Source organism: Homo sapiens, chromosome 22 (genome assembly GCF_000001405.40).
Source record: "Homo sapiens chromosome 22, GRCh38.p14 Primary Assembly".
In the NCBI taxonomy this organism is placed as follows: Eukaryota; Metazoa; Chordata; class Mammalia; order Primates; family Hominidae; genus Homo; species Homo sapiens.
The window spans coordinates 21,192,294-21,215,193 of NC_000022.11; the positions used below are offsets into that span (position 1 = coordinate 21,192,294).

The 22,900-nt window shown below is 53.0% G+C and overlaps 1 long non-coding RNA gene and 1 pseudogene across 2 annotated transcripts in view, besides 2 other annotated features; both read right to left on the minus strand.

Annotated features, from left to right (window-relative positions):
- Window positions 1-496: 496 nt before the first annotated feature.
- Window positions 497-11,695, minus strand: FAM247A (family with sequence similarity 247 member A). The gene is made up of 2 exons (NR_185501.1): window positions 11,161-11,695; window positions 497-1,122 (listed from the first exon to the last, which is right to left on the minus strand). It is a non-coding gene; the product is annotated as a family with sequence similarity 247 member A (long non-coding RNA).
- Window positions 8,667-9,349: an enhancer, noted in NCBI's record as "H3K4me1 hESC enhancer chr22:21555249-21555931 (GRCh37/hg19 assembly coordinates)". NCBI's record gives its function as "activates a minimal SCP1, AML or CMV promoter by ChIP-STARR-seq in primed H9 embryonic stem cells {active_cell/tissue: H9 hESC(primed)}" and the evidence as "EXISTENCE:reporter gene assay evidence [ECO:0000049][PMID:30033119]".
- Window positions 9,350-10,031: an enhancer, noted in NCBI's record as "H3K4me1 hESC enhancer chr22:21555932-21556613 (GRCh37/hg19 assembly coordinates)". NCBI's record gives its function as "activates a minimal SCP1, AML or CMV promoter by ChIP-STARR-seq in primed H9 embryonic stem cells {active_cell/tissue: H9 hESC(primed)}" and the evidence as "EXISTENCE:reporter gene assay evidence [ECO:0000049][PMID:30033119]".
- A 3,987-nt stretch (window positions 11,696-15,682) lies between the features above and the next one.
- The window catches only part of GGT2P (gamma-glutamyltransferase 2, pseudogene), a 51,709-nt pseudogene continuing 44,491 nt past the window's right edge, over window positions 15,683-22,900 (minus strand). The window contains exons 9-15 of the transcript NR_172944.1: window positions 21,432-21,581; window positions 20,772-20,908; window positions 17,066-17,275; window positions 16,706-16,833; window positions 16,491-16,603; window positions 16,296-16,409; window positions 15,683-15,991 (exon numbers count right to left, since the gene is read on the minus strand). The product of NR_172944.1 is annotated as a gamma-glutamyltransferase 2, pseudogene (transcript). The remainder of the gene's footprint in view (window positions 15,992-16,295; window positions 16,410-16,490; window positions 16,604-16,705; window positions 16,834-17,065; window positions 17,276-20,771; window positions 20,909-21,431; window positions 21,582-22,900) is intronic.

Sequence of the window (22,900 nt, forward strand, 5' to 3'; positions counted from 1 at the left end):
CCGGACTCTCCCTGGGCCCCCCTGTTCTCTCACCAGCCACATCCATTCTCCCCCCAGAGGCGCTAGTGACTGTGCGTGGCTTTCCATTCCCACCACGTTTGTCTCTAACCCCAGTGGCAGATCAGTGTAAGAACACAGCTGAGTGCTCCTCGCCTCCTTGCCCCTTCAAGGGCCCCTCACCACCCACCAGATCAGGTGCAAACTTCCAAGCCTTACTGGATCCCCTTCCACATTCTGAGCTCCGCCTGCCTTCCCATCGCTATCCTTCCCCACCTGCCTCCCTGGTAGAGAAAAGCGGAGTGTGTGATGCTGTCTGAATGCTGAGCACGGCCTTTTGCAGCCAGTCCACTGTGTACGCTGCCCCTATCGGAGACCTCCACCTTAACCCTTTCCAGCCTGGAGGCTCCTCCCAGGGCCCCACAACAGAAGTGACTTCCCTTGCCTTTGAATTTCTATAGCACAATCCCTACTGCCCCCCGTTAAAACTGCAAAGTCCTTTTGTGGAAAATAACTTTATTCATGACTGTGTTTATCACACTATCTTATGGAGAAGAGATGATCAATAAATATTTGCTGAATAAATGAATAGCAGTTACAAAACACTTGATTCATATGGAATTAATGTTGGTTCTCAAAGTGAAAAATTACAAACAGCACTGATATTCAGCCAGTATACAAGTCTGGTCACAGCAGTTGTATAATACTGAAATACCCCCTGCCACTGACCTTTGGCCCCCAGATGCCTCCCACTGCCACTGCTCTCCCCACTGGGAACCCCTGAAGTTCCCACAGGCTCATAACTAAAGGGCTAATGTCTTGCACAGCAGCGAGCACCCAGGACCGAGCAGCCACATGGCCGGGTCTGCTGGTGAAAGCATCCATTCTGACTGATCAGGACCTGAGGGGCCTCATGGTTACATATTTTGATAATATCCCTAATTATAAATAAGGCTCAGTTATATAGTTTGAAAACAGTGCTTCTCCTCATTGCAAAATCTCTTAGAAGACTCCGTAGATCCAGGAACGGAAATGGAAAATGACAGCGTGTCAATCTCTGAAGGTTTTGGGCATTTCCATTAGCACTCCATCTTCATGTAAACCAGAAGATATGCAGTTTCCTGCCTAGAGAGAAGAGAAGACACATCAGCACAGCGGCATGAAACCTTCATCAGAAAACAATGCTTCATTAATCCGTGACAGGACAAGCGTCAGCAAACTTCCAGGCGGCTGGATTAGGCCTTCATCTATCCATCACCTTGGAGAGGAACAAAATAGGTGGCCTGGGAAGATAAGCACTATGTTTCTATTAGTTAATATCTAAAGCGGAGGTTAACAAGCTATGGACACACAAGCCAAACCCAGCCCTCTTGGGGTTTTTTAAATCTACTTTCAACTTTTATTTTAGATTCAGCGGGCACATGTGCAGGTTTGTCACATGGATATGAGCATACTCCCCAACAGTTGGCCTTTCACCCCTCCCCTCCCTCCCCATCCAGCAGTTCCCAGTTGTTGCCATCTTTAAGTCAATGAGTCCCCATGTTTAGCTCCCATTTATAAGAGAGAACATGCATTATGTTTTGTTTGGTTTTTGCTGGTTTTTTTTTTTTTTTTTAATGGAGTCTTGCCCTGTAGCCCAGGCTAGAGTGCAGTGGCACAACCTTGGCTCACTGCAACCTCCGCCTCCCAGGTTCAAACGATTCTCCCTCCTCAGCCTCCCGAGTGGCTGGGACTACAGGCGCCCACCACCACGCCCGGCTAACTTTTTGTATTTTTAGTAGAGACAGGGTTTCACCGTGTTAGCCAGGATGGTCTCAATCTCCTGACCTCATGATCTGCCCACCTTAGTCTCCCAAAGTGCAGGGATTACAGGCGTGAGCCACCGTGCCCAGCCTTTTGTTTATTTTTTGATGAGACGGTTCTTGCTCTGTCACCAGGCTGGAGTGCACTGGCACAATAATAGCTCACCACAGCCTCGTGCTCCTGGGCTCAACTGACCCTCCTGCCTCAGTTTTAGCTTCCTGAGTAGCTAGGACTACGGGTGTGTACCACCATGCCTAGCTATAATAATTTTTATTTTTTTGTAGAGATGGAGTCTTGCTTTGTTGCCCAGGCTGGTCTTGAACTCCTGGCTTGAAGTGATCCTCCTGCCTCGGCCTCCCAAAGTGCCGGGATTAAAGGTGGGAGATCGCACCCAGTCTCCAACCCTCTTTTTGCAAGTAAATGTAACTGGACCCCAGCCATGCTCATCTGCCCATGTACTGTCTACGGCTGCTTTTGCTCTACAGGGCAGAGTTAAGTGGTTGCAACAGACACTGCACAGACCACAAAGTCTGAAGTACTTTCTCTCCAGCCCTTTACAGAGAAAGTCTGCCAACCTCTAATCTCAATAACAGGGAAATCAATGACAACCACAAAGTGACAAAGATTGGGTGTCTAAGATGGATGTTCAGAATAAACAAGAGAGAAAGATGAGAAGTAGAAGGAGGATTTCAAACGCAAGCTTCACCTAATCCGTTATTTTTCAAATGACCAGGCCTATCTCTGTAGCCGAAAATCACCTCAAATAGGATCTCTGATATACAGTCTCCAAAAGCTCAGCTAAGAAACTTACAAAGTCTCTCTGCCTTAACTTCATCCACCTTTTTTCTCTCCAGCTTCTCCTCGGTAGTTAATGATTATAAAAATATTTATTGGCTCATGCCTGTAATCCCAGCACTTTGAGAGGCCGAGGCGGGCAGATCACGGTCAGGAGATCGAGACCATCCTGGCTAACACGGTGAAATCCCGTCTCTACTAAAAATACAAAAAATTAGCCAGGCGTGGTGGCGGGCGCCTGTAATCCCAGCTACTCAGGAGGCTGAGGCAGGAGAATGGCGTGAACCCACAAGGCGGAGCTTGCAATGAGGTGAGATCCCACTACTGCACTCCAGCCTGGGCGACAGAGCAAGACTCCATCTCAAAACAAACAAACAAACAAACAAAAAAACAGTGTGATGGCCAGGCGCAGTGCTCATGCCTATAATCCAAGCACTTTGGGAGGCTGAAATGGATGGATGGCTTGAGCCCAGTAGTTTGAGACAAGCCTGGCAACATAGCGAGACCTCATCTCTACAAACATCTTTAAAATATGCCAGGCATGGTGGTGCATGCCTGTAGTCCCAGCTATTCAGGAGGCTGAGGTGGGAGGATCACCTGTGCCCGGGAGTTCAAGGCTGCAGTGAGCTATGATCACACCACAGTGCTCCAGCCTGGGCAACAAAGCAAGACTCCATCTCTAAAAATAAAATAAAATTTAAAAAAAAGATCTTCGCTGTAAAAGAGGTACGCTCAAATGCAATAAAAGCATATAAGAAGGCCGGGTGTGGTGGCTCATGCCTGTAATCCCAGCACTTTGGGAGGCCGAGACGGGCGGATCACGAGGTCAGGAGATTGAGACTATCCTGGCTAACGCGGTGAAACCCCATCTCCTCTAAAAGTACAAAAAAATTAGCTGGGCTAGGTGGCAGGCGCCTGTAGTCCCAGCTACTGAGGAGGCTGAGGCAGGAGAATGGCATAAACCAGGGAGGCAGAGCTTGCAGTGAGCCTAGATCACACCACTGCACTCCAGCCTGGGTGACAGAGCGAGACTCCGTCTCAAAAAAAAAAAAAAGAAAAGAAAAAGAAAAGAAAAGTTCTTCTGACATTTGTGTATGAAATCAGCCTTCACTACATGGATAGGACCAGCACGCTTCTGCGGCACGACTCTGCAATCTTACTACATTTTTTTTTACTTTGTATTTTATTTATTCCTTTTGAGACAGAGTCTCACTCTGTCACCCAGGCTGAAGTGCAGCCGAGATCTCGGCTCACTGCAACCTCCACCTCTTGGGTTCAAGCAATTCTCTTGTCTCAGCCTCCCAAGTAGCTGGGACTACAGGCACACGTCAAAACGCCCGGCTAATTTTTGTATTTTTAGTAGAGATGGAGTTTTGCCATATTGGTCAGGCTGGTCTCGAACTCCTGACCTCAGGTGATCGACCTGTCTTAGCCTCCCAAAGTGCTAGGATTACAGGTGTACATTTATTTATTTATTTGAGATGGAATCTTGCTCTGTATTTATTAATTTATTTATTTGAGATGGAGTCTTGCTCCATCGCCCAGGCTAGAGTGCAGCGGTGCAATCTCGGCTCATTGCAACCTCTGCCTTCCAGGTTCAAGCGATTCTCCTGCCTCAGTGTCCCAAGTAGCTGGGATTACAGGTGCCTGCCACCACAGCTGGCTAATTTTTGTATTTTTAGTAGAGACAGTGTTTCACCATCTTGGCCAGGCTGGTCTCGGGCTCCTGACCTCATGAACCACCTGCCTCAGCCTCCCAAAGTGTTGGGATTACAGGCCTAAGGCACCATGCTCGGCCATATTTATTTATTTAATTATTTAGAGACAAAGTCTTGCTCTGTCACCCAGGCTGGAGTGCAGTGGCGCCATCTCAGCTCACTGCAGCCTCCGCCTCCGAGGTTTAAGCAATTCTCATGCCTCAGCCTCCTGAGTAACTGGGACTACAGATACTTGCCACCACGCAGGGATTTTTTTTTCTATTTTTTTGTAGAGACACAGTTTCACCATGTTGGCCAGGCTGGTCTCGAACTCCTGACCTTAGGTGATCTGACAGCCTCGTCCTCTCAAAGCACTGGGATTACAGGCATGAGCCCCTTGCCCGGCCTCTCACTACATTTAAGTGACGCCATGGCTCATGCCTGTAATCCTAGCACTTTGGGAGGCCAAGGCAGGTGGATCACCTGAGGTCAGGAGTTCGACACGAGCCTGGCCAACATGGGGAAACCCCGTCTCTAGTAAAAATACAAAAATTAGTCAGGTGTGGTGGTACAAGCCTGTAGGCCCAGCTACTTGGAAGACTGAGGCAGGAGAATCACTTTAAGCGGGAGGCAGAGGTTGCAGTGAGCCAATATCATGCCACTGCACTCCAGCTTGGGTGACAGAGTGAGATACTGTCTCAAAAAAAAAGAAAAAAAGAGAGAAAAACATATGATGCCGGGGCATCTCGGCCTCAATACCTGGGTGAGCACAGTCATGTCCAGGCCAGGGCTGCTGGTCGAGGTCCGGCCCCATCTCTTCCAGCAGAAAGGGAGTAAGCTTGCAGGGCGGCTGGGGGACAAGATCCCAGGATCTCAGCCTCTGCTCATGGATCAGCTCTGAGACCCCGAGTGAGCTGGGGGTGCTCTGTGCGCATTGGTTTCCCCAGCTGTCAAGTAAAGGGATTGGATGAGGAAGTCTTGTCAAGGTGGAATGATCTCAGATTTGGGGCAGCAGTGAATGATCCCGCTCCCTGGGCCATGCCAGTGGCCCGGCCTCGGCTGAACACAGCCCCAACACTCTGGAATGGGGATGAGGGGGCAGTCAGCTCTTGCTCCTAGTAAGAGAGATGCAACAGGGCTCTGTGGCTGAGCTGGGTGCCTTGCCTCACACCTGTAATCCCAACCTTTGAGAGGCCGAGGCAGGAGGATTGCTCGAGGCCGGGAATTTTGAGAATAGCCTGGACAACATAGCCAGACCCCATGTCTACAAAATAATAAGAAAACACACAGCTATAGTCCAAGCTACTTGGCAGGCTGAGGCAGGAGGGTCCCTTGAGTCCAGGAATTGGAGGCTGCATTGAGCTATAATCGCACCACTGCACTCCAGCTTGGGTGACAAAGTGAGACCCTGTCTCTAAAAGAAAAAAAATTGGCCTGTGAGCATGGGCTTGATTTTCAAACAGGACCCGGAGGGTAGGGTAAACGTGTGGGTAAATCTAAATGAATGTTATTGGTATAAAATTACAGTAGTATAGAAAATGATATCTTGTGGGGTTTAAAATAAATAAAACATACTGAAATATGTATTGGTACAGTTATATATCTGGGATTTGCACTGAAATAATGTGGGGTAGAGGGAAGCAGGAAAGAGTATACATGAAATGAGCTTGGCCATAAGATTGTTGTTGAAATTGAATGGATACTCGGGGCTTCATTACACAATTCTCTTTACTCTTACATAGCTCTACACTCTCAACATAAATAAGAATAAAAACACAAAAAACACACAGATACATCTATGCACACACACATATTTAAAATACACAAAAATATTAGCATATAAGTCACTGGGGGTAAATTTAGTTCCTGTTCCAAGGTTCTTGTACTGACTAGGAAGAGGATAGAAGTACTAACTCATAGGCTGGGCGCGGTGGCTCACGCCTGTAATCCCAACACTTTAGGATGCCGAGGTAGGCAGATCTCTTAAGGTCCGGAGTTCAAGACCAGCCTGGCCAACATGGTGAAACCCTGTCTCTACTGAAAAAGAATACAAAAATTGGCCGGGCATAGTGGTGCACACCTGTGGTCCCAGCTACTCAGGTGACTGAGGCAGGAGAATTGCTTGAACCCAAGAAGTGGAGGTTGCAGTGAACCAAGATTGCTCCACTGCACTCCAGCCTGGGCAGCAGAGGAAGACTCTCTCTATCTCAACCACAACAAAAAGTACTAGCTCATGTTAGACTTTGATAAGGGAAGGATGCATGTTGTAAGCTCTAAAATAATCCAGTCATCTTTTAAAATAACTCTAAGACTGCACAGTTATGAAACTAATAGAGAAGGAGGAAATTAAATAATAAAAATAATAAATCCAAAACAAGATGTGAGAGGAGATAAGAAGAAATAGAATAGGCATGGAAAACAAATTGGTGGTGGGTTTCAACCCAAATAAATCATTAGTTACATTTAAAAGGACAATAAAAATTAAAATAATTGAAAATAAAGTAAAACCCAACTAATGCCTTTTATATAAGGGTACAGAGAGGTGGAAGATCATGAAAAATATGTCATGCATGTACTAACCAAGAAAGCTGTATAACTTTTTTTTTTTTTTTTTTTTTTTTTTTGGAGATAGAGCCTCACTCTGTCTCCCAGGCTGGAGTGCAGTGATGTGATCTTGGCTTACAGCAATCTCTCCCTTCTAGGCTCAAGCGATTCTCCCACCTCAGCATCCCAAGTAGCTGGGACTACAAGTGTGCCAACTTAGAATTATATTAGCCACACCCAGCTAATTTTTGTATTTTTTGTAGAGGCAGGGTCTCGCCATGTTGCCCAGGTTGGTCTTGAACTCCTGGGCTTCAGTGATCCACCCACCTCGACCTCCAGCAAAGTGCCAAGATTACAGCCATGAGCCACCATGCCCAGCATAACTATTTTTAATGAAGTAGACTTTAAGAAGAAAAGTATTATTAGAGGTAAGAGACACATCACAGAAAAGAAGAATTTACTAGGAGCCAGGCGCAATGGCTCGTGCCTGTAATTCCAGCACTTTGTGAGGCCAAGGCGGCGGATCACCTGAGGTTGGGAGTTCAAGACCAGCCTGACCAACATGGAGAAGCCCTGTCTCTACTAAAAATACAAAAATTAGCCAAGCATGGTGGCACATGCCTGTAATCCCAGCTACTCAGGAGGCTGAGGGAGGAGAATTGCTTGGACCCAGGAAGTGGAGGTTGCGGTGAGCTGAGATTGTGCCATTGCATTCCAGCCTGGGCAACAAGAGCAAAACTCTGTCTCAAAAAAAAAAAAAAAAAAAGAAGTTACTAGCTAGTTTCGGTAATTCTTAACAACCAGGAAACTGGATGTGAAAGTTTTTCAGAGAAACTAAACCAATAGATTATACATAGAGAGAGATTTATTTAGGAATTGGCTCACATGATTGTGGGGACTAGCAAGTTTTAAAATCTGTAGGGCAAGCCAGCAGGCTATAAATTCAGGTAAGAGTTGATCTCGAAGTCTGGAACCTAAAATCTGTAGAGCAGTCAGCAGGCCAGAAACTCAGGCAGGGTTTGTGTGTTACAGTCTTGAAGCAGAATTCCTGCTTCTCTGGGAAACCTCAGTTTTTGTTCTTAAGGCCTTCAACTGATTGGAGGTGGCCCACCCATATTATGGTGGGTAATCTGTTTTACTTAAAGTCAATTGACTGTCAGTGTTAATCACATCTATGAAATAACCTCCCAGCAAGATATTGACAAGTATTTGACCAAACAACAGGACACCATAGCTTAGCCAAGTTGACACATAAATTAACCATCAGGAGCAAGTAGAATATCCAAAAAACAACATACTAGGGGTATTATATCTTATATAGCTATTATAATTATATAAAACATATAATTATAGAATGACGATATTAAGATAACCATTAGAACAAAAATATAAACTTTTCTTTCTTTCTTTTTTTTTTTTTTGAGACCAAGTCTTGCTCTGTCACCCAGGCTGGAGTGCAGTGGTGCAATCTTGGCTTACTGAAACCTTTGCCTCCTGGGTTCAAGTGATTCTCCTGTCTCAGCCTCCCAAGTATCTGGGATTACAGGCACCTGCTACCATGCCCAGCTAATTTTTGTATTTTTAGTAGAGACATGGTTTCACCATGTTGCCCAGGCTGGTCTCCAACTCCTGACCTCAAGTGAGCCACCCCCCTCGGCCTCCCAAAGTGCTGGGATTACAGGTGTGAGCCACCACACCCAGCCAAAAATCACCTTTTTTACAAGGATCAAAACAGTCATTATGCTGGAGATGACAGACCTCACTGTCACCATGCTCCTTTTGTATGTCTACTAGGCACGGTGCTGGGTCCACACTCACAGAAACCTTAGGAACTCGCACCCAGGGGCTCCGGCTGTAGCAGAATCCCAAGAATAAAACCTGGTGCTGAAAGAGTAGGAGATGAGGCCAGGTGCCATGACTCACTCCTGTAATGCCAGCACTTTGGGTGGCCAAGGCGGGTGAATCAAGAGATAGAGACCATCCTGGCCAACACGGTGAAACCCCGTCTCTACTAAAAATACAGAAATTAGCGGGGCGTGGTGGCTGGCACCTGTAGTCCCAGCTACTCAGGAGGCTGAGGCAGGAGAATCATTTGAACCGAGGAAGCAGAGGTTGCAGTAAGCTGAGATCGCGCCACTGCACTCCAGCCTGGTGACAGAGTGAGACACCGTCACAAAAAAAAAAAAAAAAAGCAGGACACTGAACTCTGGGAGGGCCTCCTGGTGAGAGGTGAGCACAGAGGGGAGAGATGGAGGCAGGAGCATGGGCTTCTGGTGGCCCCAGCAGACCCTGTGGCAGCGTGGCCAGGGTCCTCTGCAGGGAGGAATCTTGGCCAGGATGACGCTGTAGCAGGCCTCTTCCTGAGGCCTCCAGCCAGCCCGGCCAGGGTCCCAGCGTCCAGTGACCCCTGTTTCACAGCAGCAGCTGGGGCCAGCCCCAGGCTCTCTTCCACTCCCAGCTTCTTAAAACTGGAAGTGGAGAGAGTTGTTTGATAAAACACTGGGGCAAACCACATCCTCTCTTCACCAAGGGAGAGTTGGAGGGGATGCCGGCAGAGGGAGCTTTAGAGTAGAGACCCCTACCCAACCAGTGACCGTCACGCACACAGCAGGGCATGCTATGGAGACCCCCAGACAGTCACTCGGGGAGACCCAGCAGGTCCAGACTCTTCAGAGATCTGTGGCAGCAGGTCCCCACTCCCAAAAGCCACGTGCCCACGGGTGGTCTCTGGTGCCTGAGACCCCAGTCTCATTTGCATCTTTGCAACTTCGAGTTTAAGTGGGTGTCGCATCTCTGTATGTCCTCCCGAGCAGAGGAGGGGCACAGCCTGGGGTGGCAGCTGGCGTCAAACCCTCAAATCCCCTGAGAGCCACTGGGGAGACTAAGCAGTCCCCAGCCCCTACTTGTCCCTGAGCTGCCATTCTCAGCCCTGTGGGAGGAGACAGAAAGCCCTGAAGAGAAACCAAAGGACCAGGTCAGGAGGGGCTGGGGGGGGGTGGCATGAGCAATCAGGGCAGGGAAGGATGCACAGATGGGGGAATGGAGGGAAGAAGGAATGAATGAAAAGGTGAATGAATGAACAAAGAGAGAGAACGGCCACTCCTCCCTTGCTTTAGTTTACAAAGTACTGGGATCCTCCCAACAGCCTGCAAGACAGAATTTCTGGGAAGCAGACCAGGTGGCTGGCAGGGAGGGGAGGCTTGCCCTGGCTTTTGTGGGCCCAATGGGAGGCAGGGGGCAAGAAGGGGCATCCTGTGTGTGTCCTCCCTGCAGCGGCAGCAGCACCTTCCTGGAAGAGGGTCAGGAAACACCCGCTGTGGCCCCTCTCCACCACGCCCTCATCCAGGACACCAAGTATCAGTCACTCAGCTCACGAGACCCAGGCCCTGACTCAGGGAGAGAGGATGTGAGGGGTGGGGCACCGGGCTCCTCAGGACTGAGAGACCTGAGATGTGGCCCCGGGCTGGGTGTAGGGGCAGACTGGCTATGGCAGCATTGTGTGTACCCCAGCAGGCCAGTACCCACGCAGGGAGCCTCCAAACCCCTTCACCCATGACCCTGGGAGAAGACCGCAGCCTTGGAGAATTGGCCTCACTGAAGGGGCCTGCGCCGGCCAGCAGGGTCAGGCGGGGCCAGACAGGTTCCCACCTGGGATATGCAAATGGGCCTCCTGAATCCTGGAGCCAGGTATGGACTCACACACCACCATTGTCCCCAAGTCCCCATCTGCCCCACGGGCACACCCTGCCGCCTGTTCTGTGCAAGGGCCCTGAGGCTGTCTCCTTGCGCTCAAGCCCTGCAGGTGCTGAAGCCCACACACACGGCTCCTGCTTCCTGGGCCAGTGCACGTGCACACACACACACGTGCACACACACACACACCCCCACAAATATACCCACACACAATCACACACATTCACACATACCCACCCCCCCATACTCACACTCACACATTTACACACACCCACACACCCACACTCACACACTCACAGTCACACACACCCTCACACAGCGAAACACAATCACACACATTCACACCCACCCACACCCCCACACACTCACACTCACATATACTCACACACACCCACACACACATACACAAACACAATCACACACATTCACACACACCCACACTCACACATACACACACCCAAACACGATCACACACATTCACACACACCCACACCCCACAAACACACTCACACATATACCCACACACACTCACACATAATCTCTCACACACACACATGCTCACACACACACGCCTTCTCCAGGAGGGGCTGGCTGCCAAAGGCCACCCAGCTTCCTCCCACGTCTCACTCACCGTACAATATTTGAGAAGACCTTGGAGTCAGCAGCAACAGCGGCGTGGGCAAAGGCCGGGGGTCAAATGGGGCCTGGTGTCGAGAGAGGACCACAGCCAGCACAATGACAGCCAGCGCCAGCCCCAGCCCCAGCCCCAGCAGGACCAGGTCACCCATGGCTCCGTAGTCCTGGGCCATGGCTCTGCGGCCCAGAAGGAGAGGGGAGGCCGGTGGGCAGATGGAGGGACAGATGGGTGGGCAGATGAATGGACAAGAAGATGCATAGATAGACTCACAGGTAATTGGACAGATGGACAAACAGGTGGGGGCTGAAGACAGACACGAAGATGGATCGACAGACAGGCCAGATAGCTAGACAAAGAGGACAGTAAGAGAAAGATGGTCAGATAGACAATGGGACAGAGATGGGCTTACAGATGGGCGGACAGACAGACAGGTCTGAACAGCGGGCTGCCAGATGGACAGATGGGTGAATGGACAGATGGCTGGCAGCTGTGGCGAGCTGCTGCCCTCACCAAGTGCACACTACGGAGTGGCCAAACTCATGCCTCAACTTCTAGTTTTCAGCTCCTGCTTGTTCCTGGCAGGAGGCCAGGCAGCAAAGCGTCTGAGGGGAGTTTTCTTTGCCTAGAGAAGTCAGCTGCTGTGTTAACTCCCTCACTGCTGGTAGGTCCAAAGGCCCCACCTACTGCCCGCCAGAGCCCATGGTCACACTGTCGCAATGTGCAGGAGAACTTGGTGCGTGCTGCACTGCGGTTGCCAGGTAGGGGCAGGGCTCCCTGGAACCTCCACACCATTCCCCAGGTTCTCAGCAGCTCTGGGAAAGCAGAGCTGGGGCCGCTTAACTCTGCCCTGGATCCGGCAAGGCTGCCCACCTCCCAGAGTGGAGCCCTGCTCCCCAGCTCCCATCTCTATCCCCTAACCCTCTCCGCATGGCCCAGCCTAGTCAGCATCAAGGTGGAGCTGAACAGAGGCAGAAGGAGGAGGACCCAAGGTGGTGTCACTCAGGACCCGGGTTCAAGTCCTTATGTTTCTGCAGCCTGGCCTGGGTCCCCCAACCCCCCCAGGGTGACCAAGGGCTTCCCAGTCTGCACAGAGGACAGGGGGTCTTGACAGCATCAAATGCTGGTGACTATGAGACACTTACATGGGAAATGCAGACAGACCATGCCTCTAGCCCTTGGCACCAGGCACCATCCATCCCTGGGACTTGCTGTCCTGGAAATGCAGCATGGACCTCCAGGGAGGGGGGCTGTGCCATGTGGGGGCCCCACCCCACCTGCAGCTCTTTCCCACCCTGGCTGCAGGTCTGCTTCTCTGAATCCAAATCCGCTACTACTGTGCTGGCAGCGCAGCCTCTCTGGGGACACTGGCCTGGCTCTGTTCTCCCCAGGCCTCAGGGTGCCTAAATGGGAGGCAACCAGGGGAGTGAGGACCCACTGAGGGGCTCCGTTGACCAGGCTCAGCAGGGGTGCAGGTGATGTGGGGTGGAATCCTTCCCACATGGCCCCCACAGTCCTCCCCGCTTCCTCCCCAACTGAACACTGCCTGCTCCAGATGTGTACACCTGGAGTCTGGGCCCCTCCATCTGGGCAGCAGAGAAACTGAGGCACAGAGACAGACTGTGTCCTTACAGGGCACACAGCCTGCCAGGCCCCTATGTCCGGCCAGAGCCCCTGGTCAGCCTGGGCTGCAGTGATTGTTTAGAGGTAGGCTGTTCCCACGGCTGCCTCTCACGGTAGGGGGGCCTGCGGACGCCTCCTCCCGCCCCCACCCGACTCCCAAGCCTCAGTGACATTGCTCAACCAGGAACTGAAGTGCATTCCTGGGCTCAGGCCAGCCCACCCACCCACCCGCTGCAGTCCTGGAAGCCCAGAGGCCTGGGCAGCAGGAACAGTGGAGACAGCAGTGTGGGGGACGTCCCCCCTCCTCTCCCCACCATCCTCGTCAGGCAGAGGCCAGGGTGCAGGGACCACCGGAGCAAAGGCCCAGGGAAATGAATGGGTGTCATTCTGGTCCTGACCCGAGGCACAGCCAGGAAGGTCCCTGTGGGGAAAAGAAAGAGATATCAGACTGTTACTGTGTCTATGTAGAAAGAAGTAGACGTAAGAGGCTCCATTTTGTTGTGTAGTAAGAAAAATTCTTTTGCCTTGAGATGCCGTTAATCTGTAACCCTAGCCCCAACCCTGTGCTCACAGAAACATGTACTGTGTCGACTCAAGGTTTAATGGATTCAGGGCTGTGCAGGATGTGCTTTGTTAAACAAATGCTTGAAGGCAGCATGCTTGTTAAGAGTCATCACCACTCCCTAATCTCAAGTAAGCAGGGACACAAAACACTGCAGAAGGCCGCAGGGACCTCTGCCTAGGAAAGCCAGGTATCGTCCAAGGTTTCTCCCCAGGTGACAGTCTGAAATATGGCCTCGTGGGAAGGGAAAGACCTGACCGTCCCCCAGCCCGACACCTGTAAAGGGTCTGTGCTGAGGAGGATTAGTAAAAGAGGAAGGCCTCTTTGCAGTTGAGATAAGAGGAAGGCATCTCTCTCCTGATCGTCCCTGGGCAAAGGAATGTCTCAGTGTTGATTGTATATTCCATCTGCTGAGATAGGAGAAAACTGCCTTAGGGCTGGAGATGGGACATGCTGGTGGCAATACTGCTCTTTAATGCATTGAGATGTTTATGTATATGCACATCAAAGCATAGCACCTTTTTCTTAACCTTGTTTATGACACAGAGACATTTGTTCACGTGTTTTCCTGCTGACCCTCTCCCCACTATTACCCTATTGTCCTGCCACATCCCCCTCTCTGAGATGGTAGAGATAATGATCAATAAATACTAGGGAACTCAGAGACTGGTGCCAGCGTGGGGCCTCCGTATGCTGAGCGCAGGTCCCCTGGGCCCACTTTTCTTTCTCTATACTTTGTCTCTGTGTCTCTTTCTTTTCTCAGTCTCTTGTCCCAGCTGATGGGAAACACCCACAGGTGTGGAGGGGCAGGCCACCCCTTCAGGTCCCTGAATGTCCTTCCTCAGGAAATGATGGGGGAAGGGGTGATGAGAATGAAGGAGACGATTTAAGTCCCTCACCCCCCGAGGTAGTCCTGGGCTGAGCCCCATGGGACCTAGAGAACCAGGGTGTACCCCACCAGCGTGTCGGGTCCAGGAAGCCTCGTGGCCAGCTCCCACTTCTCTTCCTGCTGTGCAACCCAGAGCAAGGCCTGCCCCTCCAGCTTCAGTCTTCTCCCCTGCAAATGGGGCCACGGCCTTTCCTCTCAGGCCAATATAAGGATTGAGGCCGGGTGCAGTGGCTACCCCTGTAATCCTAGCACTTTGGGAGACTGAGATGGGGGGACTGCTTGAAGTCAGGAGTTAAGACCAGCCTGGTCAACATAGTGAGACCCCATCTCTATTGGTTTAAATTTTTTTTAAAAAAATTAAATAAATAAAATAAGGATTGAAGAGTGACTTGTACACCAGTTGAGCCCACCTCCATCTCACCCTTGCAGAGCCCCAGAGACACAGCCCTCCAGAGCTCAGACCCAGTGGGACTTGACTCCACAGGCATAAAACCCTGTTTGTCTATGGGCCCTTTGGAATCACCAGGTTTTCGGGGCTCCTGAAGGATAGCCCCGACCTGGCCTCACCTGGCCCCTGGCCCCAGTGCCCCTGGTGATATCCAGGTGCTGGGCTGTGATCACCGCCTCCCACCAGCCCACCTCCACCAGCCCTTCCCAGAACCCTGCTCCAGGTGTTGGGCTGTGATCACCGCCTCCCACCAGCCCACCTCCACCAGCCCTTCCCAGAACCCTGCTCCAGGTGTTGGAACTGTGCACAGAGGAGGGAGCAGGCCCCGAGGGAGGCCTGGAGGGGCTGCCAATGGTGAAGGCTGCTGTGTCGAGCTGTTTCCTTCCGGACCCACTCCCTCTGGGCTGCGTCCCCGGCTGGTCCAAGCCCTGATCCCTGGGATCTGGGGACATCTTCCCGTTTGCTGTTCCCTGAGAACCAGGCCTCCCTCTGGAGAGGATCACAAGCTTGGGTTTCACTCTGGGCTTGCTCTTGGGAACCCCCCAGGGGCATGGCTCTGACCGAGATGTTTTCCTCCAGCCTGTTGCCCAGTCCCCATTCCTCGGACCCTCAGCTTCACCTCCAGTGTCATCGGCAGGGTGAGCTGGACGCCTACGGGTCTGAGAAGGCGCCCGGGTTCCCAGCATCGGCTGGCCACCCTCTGCCTAAGAAAGCGCCAGGGTCGTGACACCCCCTGGTGGCTGATCCTAGGTAGTGTCACTGCCCAGCCCCAGTAAGGGAGGGCCTGGCCCCAAAGTCTGAGGGATCAGGGTGGGAAGGGGCAGGGTTTGGTGTGAACCTTCCCCTGGCCCCCAGCCATGTGCCTTGCTCTCCCCATGCTGAAGATGCTGAGGCTAGTTCCAGTGTCCGCATTGTGAAGATCTCCGAATCCCACCTCTCTGTTCCTCCCCAGCCAGATGGCTCCATTTCACACACAATACACTGAGGCCCAGAGAGTGGGGAGACAGGCCAGGGAGGCCACCTGGAGCCTGGCACAGTGGCCTCATTTATTATGCTGCTCTGCTGCTCACAGGGGAAGCCCGTCCCCCAAAGTCCTCTTCCTCATCCTGGTGAGTATCTTGTCCCTGGATTGCTTGTCAGCCTTGTCTGCCTGGAGCAATCAGTAGCCAGCAGGTTCCCCGCCTTTCCTGGAGTCCGAGGCAGCTGCCCAGCCACCAGCCGTGCGGACGATGGCTTGCACCACAGCGATGAAGGTGGACGCGATCTGGGTGTGATGGTGCCGGGTCTCCAGGGCTGCAGTCACTGCCTGGGGGTGGGAGGAGAGGGGAAGCCTGAGCAGGGCTCCAGATGCCACCTGAACCACACCTGTGTGGTCACAGGCCTCAGCCCAGGTGGTGCCATTTCAGGCCAGGTCATCAGGAAGAGCAGGTTGGGGCCTGCTGGGTCTCACTGGAGCAGGGGGCTTGGCTCTCATGTCACAGGGGCTCCAGATGGCCCAGGCACTAGAGAGAGGACACCAACCATTGTCCACTCTGTGATGATCCAGGCCTCCAGCCCAGGATGCCCTGGGACCCCACACCGTGACTCAGTTTCTCCAACCCCTGGCCCACCTGGTCAATGTTTCTCTCCACTGTCGTGACGTTGGGCAGAAGCTTGTTGTGCAGCCGGGGCTCCTCCACGGCCCTCTTCACGTCATAGCCGAACCAGAGGTTGTAGATGATGGCCTGGGGCATGGGAGTGTGATCAGGGTGGCTTGGGGGCTGTGCAGAGTGGGCAGGGCCAGGGAGAAAAGGGGTGACACATACCAGTGCAGTGTCTGTGGTGATCTGCGTGCCCCCAGCAGCTCCCACCACCATCCGGACCTGGCCGTCCTGGCCCACCATGATCGTCAGGCACATGGACAAGAGCGGCTGCTTCCCTGCGGCCGATGGGAGAAGACAGGGATGCCCGTCAGCTGCCTGCCCAGGACACCCGCCCCTCTCCACCCCAGTCCCCCACCCCCCGGACCTCCACCCCATACCTGGCTGGATGAAATTGGCAGGTGAGGGGGGTGCCCCAAACTCATTGGTGAATGCTGGGAGAGCTGAAGTCGTCCATTCATTATTGAACAGGATCCCACTGACCGGGGAGCAGACCTTGGAGCCAAAGCTACCGCCCAGCCAGGTCAGACAGCACCCGACCTTGCCTGGCCCAGCCTGGTCCCTATCCACCCACTGAGGCTCAAACATACTCACTGAGAGGCCCAGGATAAGCTACCAAGGTTGGGCCTCAGTTTCCCACCAGGAAAAGAGGTGATGGAGCCACCTTACTGGATAAGTGGGCAGTCCCTGGGCCACCCGCCCCTGGCCCTTTCCCACCCAGGCGGCCCAGCAGCCCCTACTAGAGGTTGATGGTGCTGGTGGCGGACACAGCACTGCCGTCCTCTGCGACGACAGACAGGTGAGCAGTGCCCCCGTCATCCGGCGTGTAGAACTCGGGCTTGTAGTAGGAGATCGGGTGAGTGGTGTGGTCAGAGATCTGGGACCGGAGCTGGGCAGCGAAGAACTCAGAGGTCATGTTGCGGACCACCTGCTGAGACCCCAGAGCTGGCCTGAGGAGGTGGGGAGGGAGGGTGGGGAGGGGGCACAGGTCTCAGAAGGCCCTTGACTGTGACTCTGACCGCAACCCTCTGGCACCCACAACCTTCCGTGGCTCCCCAGGACCCAAGGGCAGGCCCAAGACCTTGCATGACCAGTCTGACTCCCTGTCTCTGTCGCGTTCCAGCAACTCTGAATGTCTGTCTGCCTGGTCCTCAGCCTCCAGACCCTTGCCGCATTCAATCACTCATTCCTTCATGCAAAAAATATTTCTAGAATTTGCACTGCATGCCTGGCACTGGGGAATCAACAGGGAACAGACACTTAAGTCCTGCCCTCATGCCAAGAAAAACAAACACACCCAGGGAAAGTGCTGAAACCACAGGCCAGGTAAGGGGAATCAAGAGGCATGAGGTATGGGCAGAGTGGTCAGGGAGGGCTTCTCAGAGGAGGCAACGTGTGAAAAGAGCCTGGAATGTGGCCTAAATGGTCAGTGCAAAGGCCCTGAGGCAGGTGGTATAGGCTGGTGAGCGATAGGCAGAGAGTGAATGGAGTAGGGTGGGGAGAAGAGGATGAAGATGCAGGCTGGGGCCCATCCCACAGGACCTCCTAGGTCCCATAACAACTGGCTTTTTCTCTGTGCCATGCAGGCTTAGGGCAGAGGAATGAGGAGGCTGGGGAGTGTTTTCACAGGGTCCCTCTGGCAGCTATGACGGGGATAAGGATAAAGCCCAAAGGGGAGGCTGTGGGTATCAACCAGGCAAGAGATGATGGCCTGGGTGGGAGAAAGAGAAGAATCAAGGATGGTGCCGACTAGCGAGGCCGGCAGAAGGGGCCGGTTTGGGGATGGTCAGGAGCTTGATTTTGGATACTTCATCAGACCCAAAGAGCATGGGTGCACGTATAAAAAAAATAAATAAATAAGCATGGGTTCACGGGCAAGGGCGGGCTGAGAGATGAACATGGAGGTATTGACATTGAGTGGCTGCTGGATGCCATGAGCCTGGCCAAGGTCCCCAAGGCAGTGGCGAGGAGGAGATGAGGAGGTCAAAGAGGAGACAGAGAGGATGGACCCGAAGGCCGAAGAAAATGCCTCAAGAGAGTTTCAACACCGGGCGCGGTGGCTCACGCCTGTAATCCCAGCACTTTGGGAGGCCGAGGCCTGTAATCCCAGCACTTTGGGAGGGCGGATCATGACGTCAGGAGATCGAGACCATCCTGGCTAACACAGTGAAACCCCGTCTCTACTAAAAATACAAAAAATTAGCTGGGCGCGGTGGTGGGCACCTGTAGTCCCAGCTACTTGGGGGGCTGAGGCAGGAGAATGGCGTGAACCTGGGAGGCGGAGCTTGCAGTGAGCGGAGATCCTGCCACTGCACTCCAGCCTGGGGGACAGCCTGGGGGACAGAGCGAGACTCCGTCTCAAAAATAAAATAAAATAAAATAAAATAAAGTTTCAGCAACACCCCACGGATTAGTTGACCAATCCCAGGGAAAGGTGTTCTGTCTGAATCTGCCCTCAAGGAAACAGAAAGGCAAATCCACGATGTGGGACATTTTCCAAGACTACTGCCCTGGGCTTTAAAAATCAACAAAACAGGCCAGGCACGGTGGTTCATGCCTGTAATCCCAGCACTTTGGGAGGCCGAGGCAGGCGGATCACGAGGTCAGGAGATCGCGATCACGGTGAAACCCCGTCTCTACTAAAAATACAAAAAATTAGCTGGGCGCAGTGTCGGGCGCCTGTAGTCCCAGCTACTCGGGAGGCTGAGGCAGGAGAATGGCGTGAACCCAGGAGGCGGAGCTTGCAGTGAGCCGAGATAGCGCCACTGCACTCCAGCCTGGGCAACAGAGCGAGACTCCGTCTCAAAGAAAAAACACACCTGTAATCCCAGCGCTTTGGGAGGCTGAGGTGGGAAGACAGTTTGATCCCAGGAGTTTGAGACCAGTCTGGGCAAGACCCTGTCTCTAAAAAAAATACAAAAATTATCCAGGTTTGGTGGCACGTGCCTCTGGTCCCAGCTGCTCAGGGGGCTGAAGTGGGAGGATTGCTTGAGCCCTGGAGGTTGAGGCTGCAGTGAGCCAAGATCACACCACTGCACTCCAACCTGGATGACAGAGACTCTGTGTACAAACAAAAACACAACAAAAACAAAACAGCCAAGGGAGCCTACTGTAGGTAAAGAGAAGGGACAGCAGGTTGTGTCACCCCGACATCCTGCTGTGCTATGTTCAAGTCTCACTTTTGAGACACACCCTGAGGTGCGACATCAGTAACCTACTGTGGAATCCCTCAGAAAAACACGAATCCCAATAGATGTGGGTGGAGACGGAGAGAGTTAGGAAATCCGGCAGAAATGTCCACACTGCAGAATCCAGGAAAAGGGAACATTGATGCTTGGGCAGTTTTGGGTTTTTTTTACATTTTTGTAGGTGCGAAAATTTGCAAAATGAAAACTCGAGGAGAGTGTGGTGAGCTGTGTGAGATGCTGCTGAGTGGGGCCTGATGGGGAAACTGAGGCTGGACATGGCGATCTGGTGGCATGGGGATAGAGCAGGGGAGGGGATACCCTGAAGGGAGAGAGGACATAGCCCAGCCATGTTTGCTCTAAGAGGAGCAAAGGACAGAAGGAGGCAGCAGATAGAAGTTTCTAGAGCAACAACAGCTGCCTTTCTTTCGGGAATAATCCGTGATAAAGAAATAAATCATCAGAGGCAGACAGGAGCATTGTAGGAACAGCACCCCGAGCCAGTGAGTAGATGAAGGAGCTGGCCTTAGCCAAAAAGGAGGGCAGAGGGACACGCTGCAGTGGCTCTGTCCCCTCAGAGAGACAAGACACCAGGTCACTGGCTGCAGCGGGAGTCAGAGGTGCAGAATGCTCACAGGGAAAGAGAAGACACCACCCGGGCAGCTGACGCCCCTCCTGGGAGGTCACTGGTCAGTGTGGGGGGGTCTGCAGATCCGCCCAGGAATGCCAAGGACCCAAGTAGGTAAGGAGGGATGTGAGGATCCTCAGTGGGAAGGGATATGACAGGGTCTTATAGGGACCCAGCATGGAGCTGGGGCAACTACTGGGTGAGTGGGTCAGGTGGTGCAGGGCTGAGGGTGGCATCTGGGAAGCATTAGTTTGGAGTGACAGGGAGTGGGTGGCCGAGGTCTCTGTTCACCTGGCCCTCTCCCTTTCACCCATCCATCTCACCATGCCCGAGGGCTGCAATGCCCCCATGCATTCCTCATCTCAGCACTGAGCACTCAAGAACCACAGCATGTGCAAAGGACCTGAGGTAGGAGGGTGGCCACTAATTCCCCGCACTGTCAGTTCTGTGGGGCAGAAGCCAAGACTGGGGGTCACCCACGAGTCCATCCGAGCACACAGTAGGCCCGCAATCGAATTCTGTGGCAGGAATGGATTCATAAAGCATATGTGAGGCTGTAGCCACCCTGGGGAGCCCACCTGATGCCTCTACGGCAGGCCCCACACCCACAGTGAGCCAGCCCCTGCCCCTTACCTCAGTCACATCCACAAACTTGGGGTCCCCAAGCAGGGTCCTCTTGGCGTAGGCAAACCGGAAAGCCTCTACGATGCGGTGGTACGTCAGGCCCTTCTGCTCGGGGGTCTCCACGCTCTCCCGGGAGAAGTTGTACCCTGGTTGATCAGAGCCAGGTGCATGTTGCTGAGCCCCAGAGGCTCTGAGGGGCTCAGAGGGTTAACACCTGCCTGAGCCACTTTGCCCACCTCAAGGAGCGTTTAATAACCAATAGCAGCAGCTGCTTCAGAAGGCTGTGGTGAGAGTGAAGTAAGGTGAGGGCTCCCGAGCCTGGACCTCACGTCACGCATCAGCTCTGGCCATTCAATGACCAAGTGGCAGGGTCACCCACTGGACCGGGGTACCCTCTGGACCGGCCCTGCAGCCCTGAGCTCCTGCACCTCTCTCCCTCCTGATGACTCCTGTTCCTCCTCCAACCCTTGAGCATTGCCCGCTTCAGCCCTGTTGCTCTGCACTGCCTCCTTCAGGACATGGTGAGCTGTGACGCAGGGACACACCTCAGGAGCTCAGTGATGGAAAGACGTGGCATGGGGGGCGAGCAGAGATGCAGGAGGGGTGGGGCGTGGGGAGAGAGAGGCAGTGTCATGGGTCCTACCACACGGCTGTGGTGCGACCACTCACCTTTGAGGATGTTGAGGATGAGGGCCAGCACGGGCCCGCTGAGCCGCGCACTGGGCATGTACAGCACCGCGTCTCCCAGGCTGATGTTCAGCGGGTGCTCGATCAGCTCAGCACGGTAGTTGTTCAGGTCCTCAGCTGTCACAATGCCCCCTGCAATGGGACAGCAGCTCGAATGGGTGCTGGGATGGGGCTGCACCACTGCGTGGAGGATGGAACTGCACCAGTGGTGTTGGGGGCAGGCATGGCTGCACCATGGTGGTGGGGAAAAGCCTGTACCTACCAGGGAGGACAGAGTGCACTACTGGAGGGGTGGGACTGTGCCCTGGGAGGGGGCCACAGGCAACCTCACCTCCTTGGGAACCTCACCAGCTCCGGCACTCCTGTCTCCCTGACACTGCTCACCACCCGACAGCTGGGCTGGGGCCACCTGCCCTCTGCCTGCTTGGCTTACTGGCTTCCTGTCTGCCTTCTCTCATCTGTGGCCAGAGAGTGTTTTCTTTTTTCTTTTTTTTTTTTAGAGATACGATCTTGCTCTGTTACCCAGGCTGGAGTGCAGTGGCTTAATCACAGCCTTGAACCCCTGGGCTCAAGTGATCCTCCAGCAGACCCTCCCCAGTAGCTGAGACTAAAGGCACAACTACACCCAGCAAATTTTAATTTTTTTGTTGTGTTTTGCTATATTTCTTTCTTTCTTTTTTTTTTTTTTTTTGTGAGACGGAGTCTCGCTCTATCGCCCAGGCTGGAGTGCAGTGGCGCGATATCGGCTCACTGCAAGCTCCGCCTCCCAGGTTCACGCCATTCTCCTGCCTCAGCCTCCCAAGTAGCTGGGACTGCAGGCACCCGCCACCACATGTGGCTAATTTTTCTGTATTTTTAGTAGAGACAGGTTTCACTGTGTTAGCCAGGATGGTCTCGATCTCCTGACCCCGTGATCCACACGCCTCGGCCTCTCAAAGTGCTGAGATTACAGGCGTGAGGCACCATGCCCGGCCGGGTTTTGCTATATTTCTTTTCACTATGCTTTGAATTTTTTGTTTTCTTGTTCCCCACCCCCACCCCCACTATATTTATGTAGATTCTCAATATTTTTTTTGTAGACTCACTATGTTGCCCAGGCTTGTCTTGGACCCCCTGACCTCAACTTCTACCTCAGCCTCCCAAAGTGTTGGGATTACAGGCATGAGACACCAAGCTTGGCCTCAGAGGGCCTTTTCTCTCTTTTTTTTTTTGAGATGGAGTCTCACTCTGTGGAGTGCAGTGGTGCAATCTCGGCTCACTGCAACCTCAGCCCCACAGGTTCTAGCGATTCTCCTGCCACAGCCTCCCAAGTAGCTGGGATTACAGGCACAACCCACCATGCCTGACTAATTTTGCATTTTTAGTAGAGACAGGGTTTCACCATGTTGGCCAGGCTGGTCTTGAACTCCTGACCTCAGGTGATCCACCCGCCTCGGCCTCCCAAAGTGCTG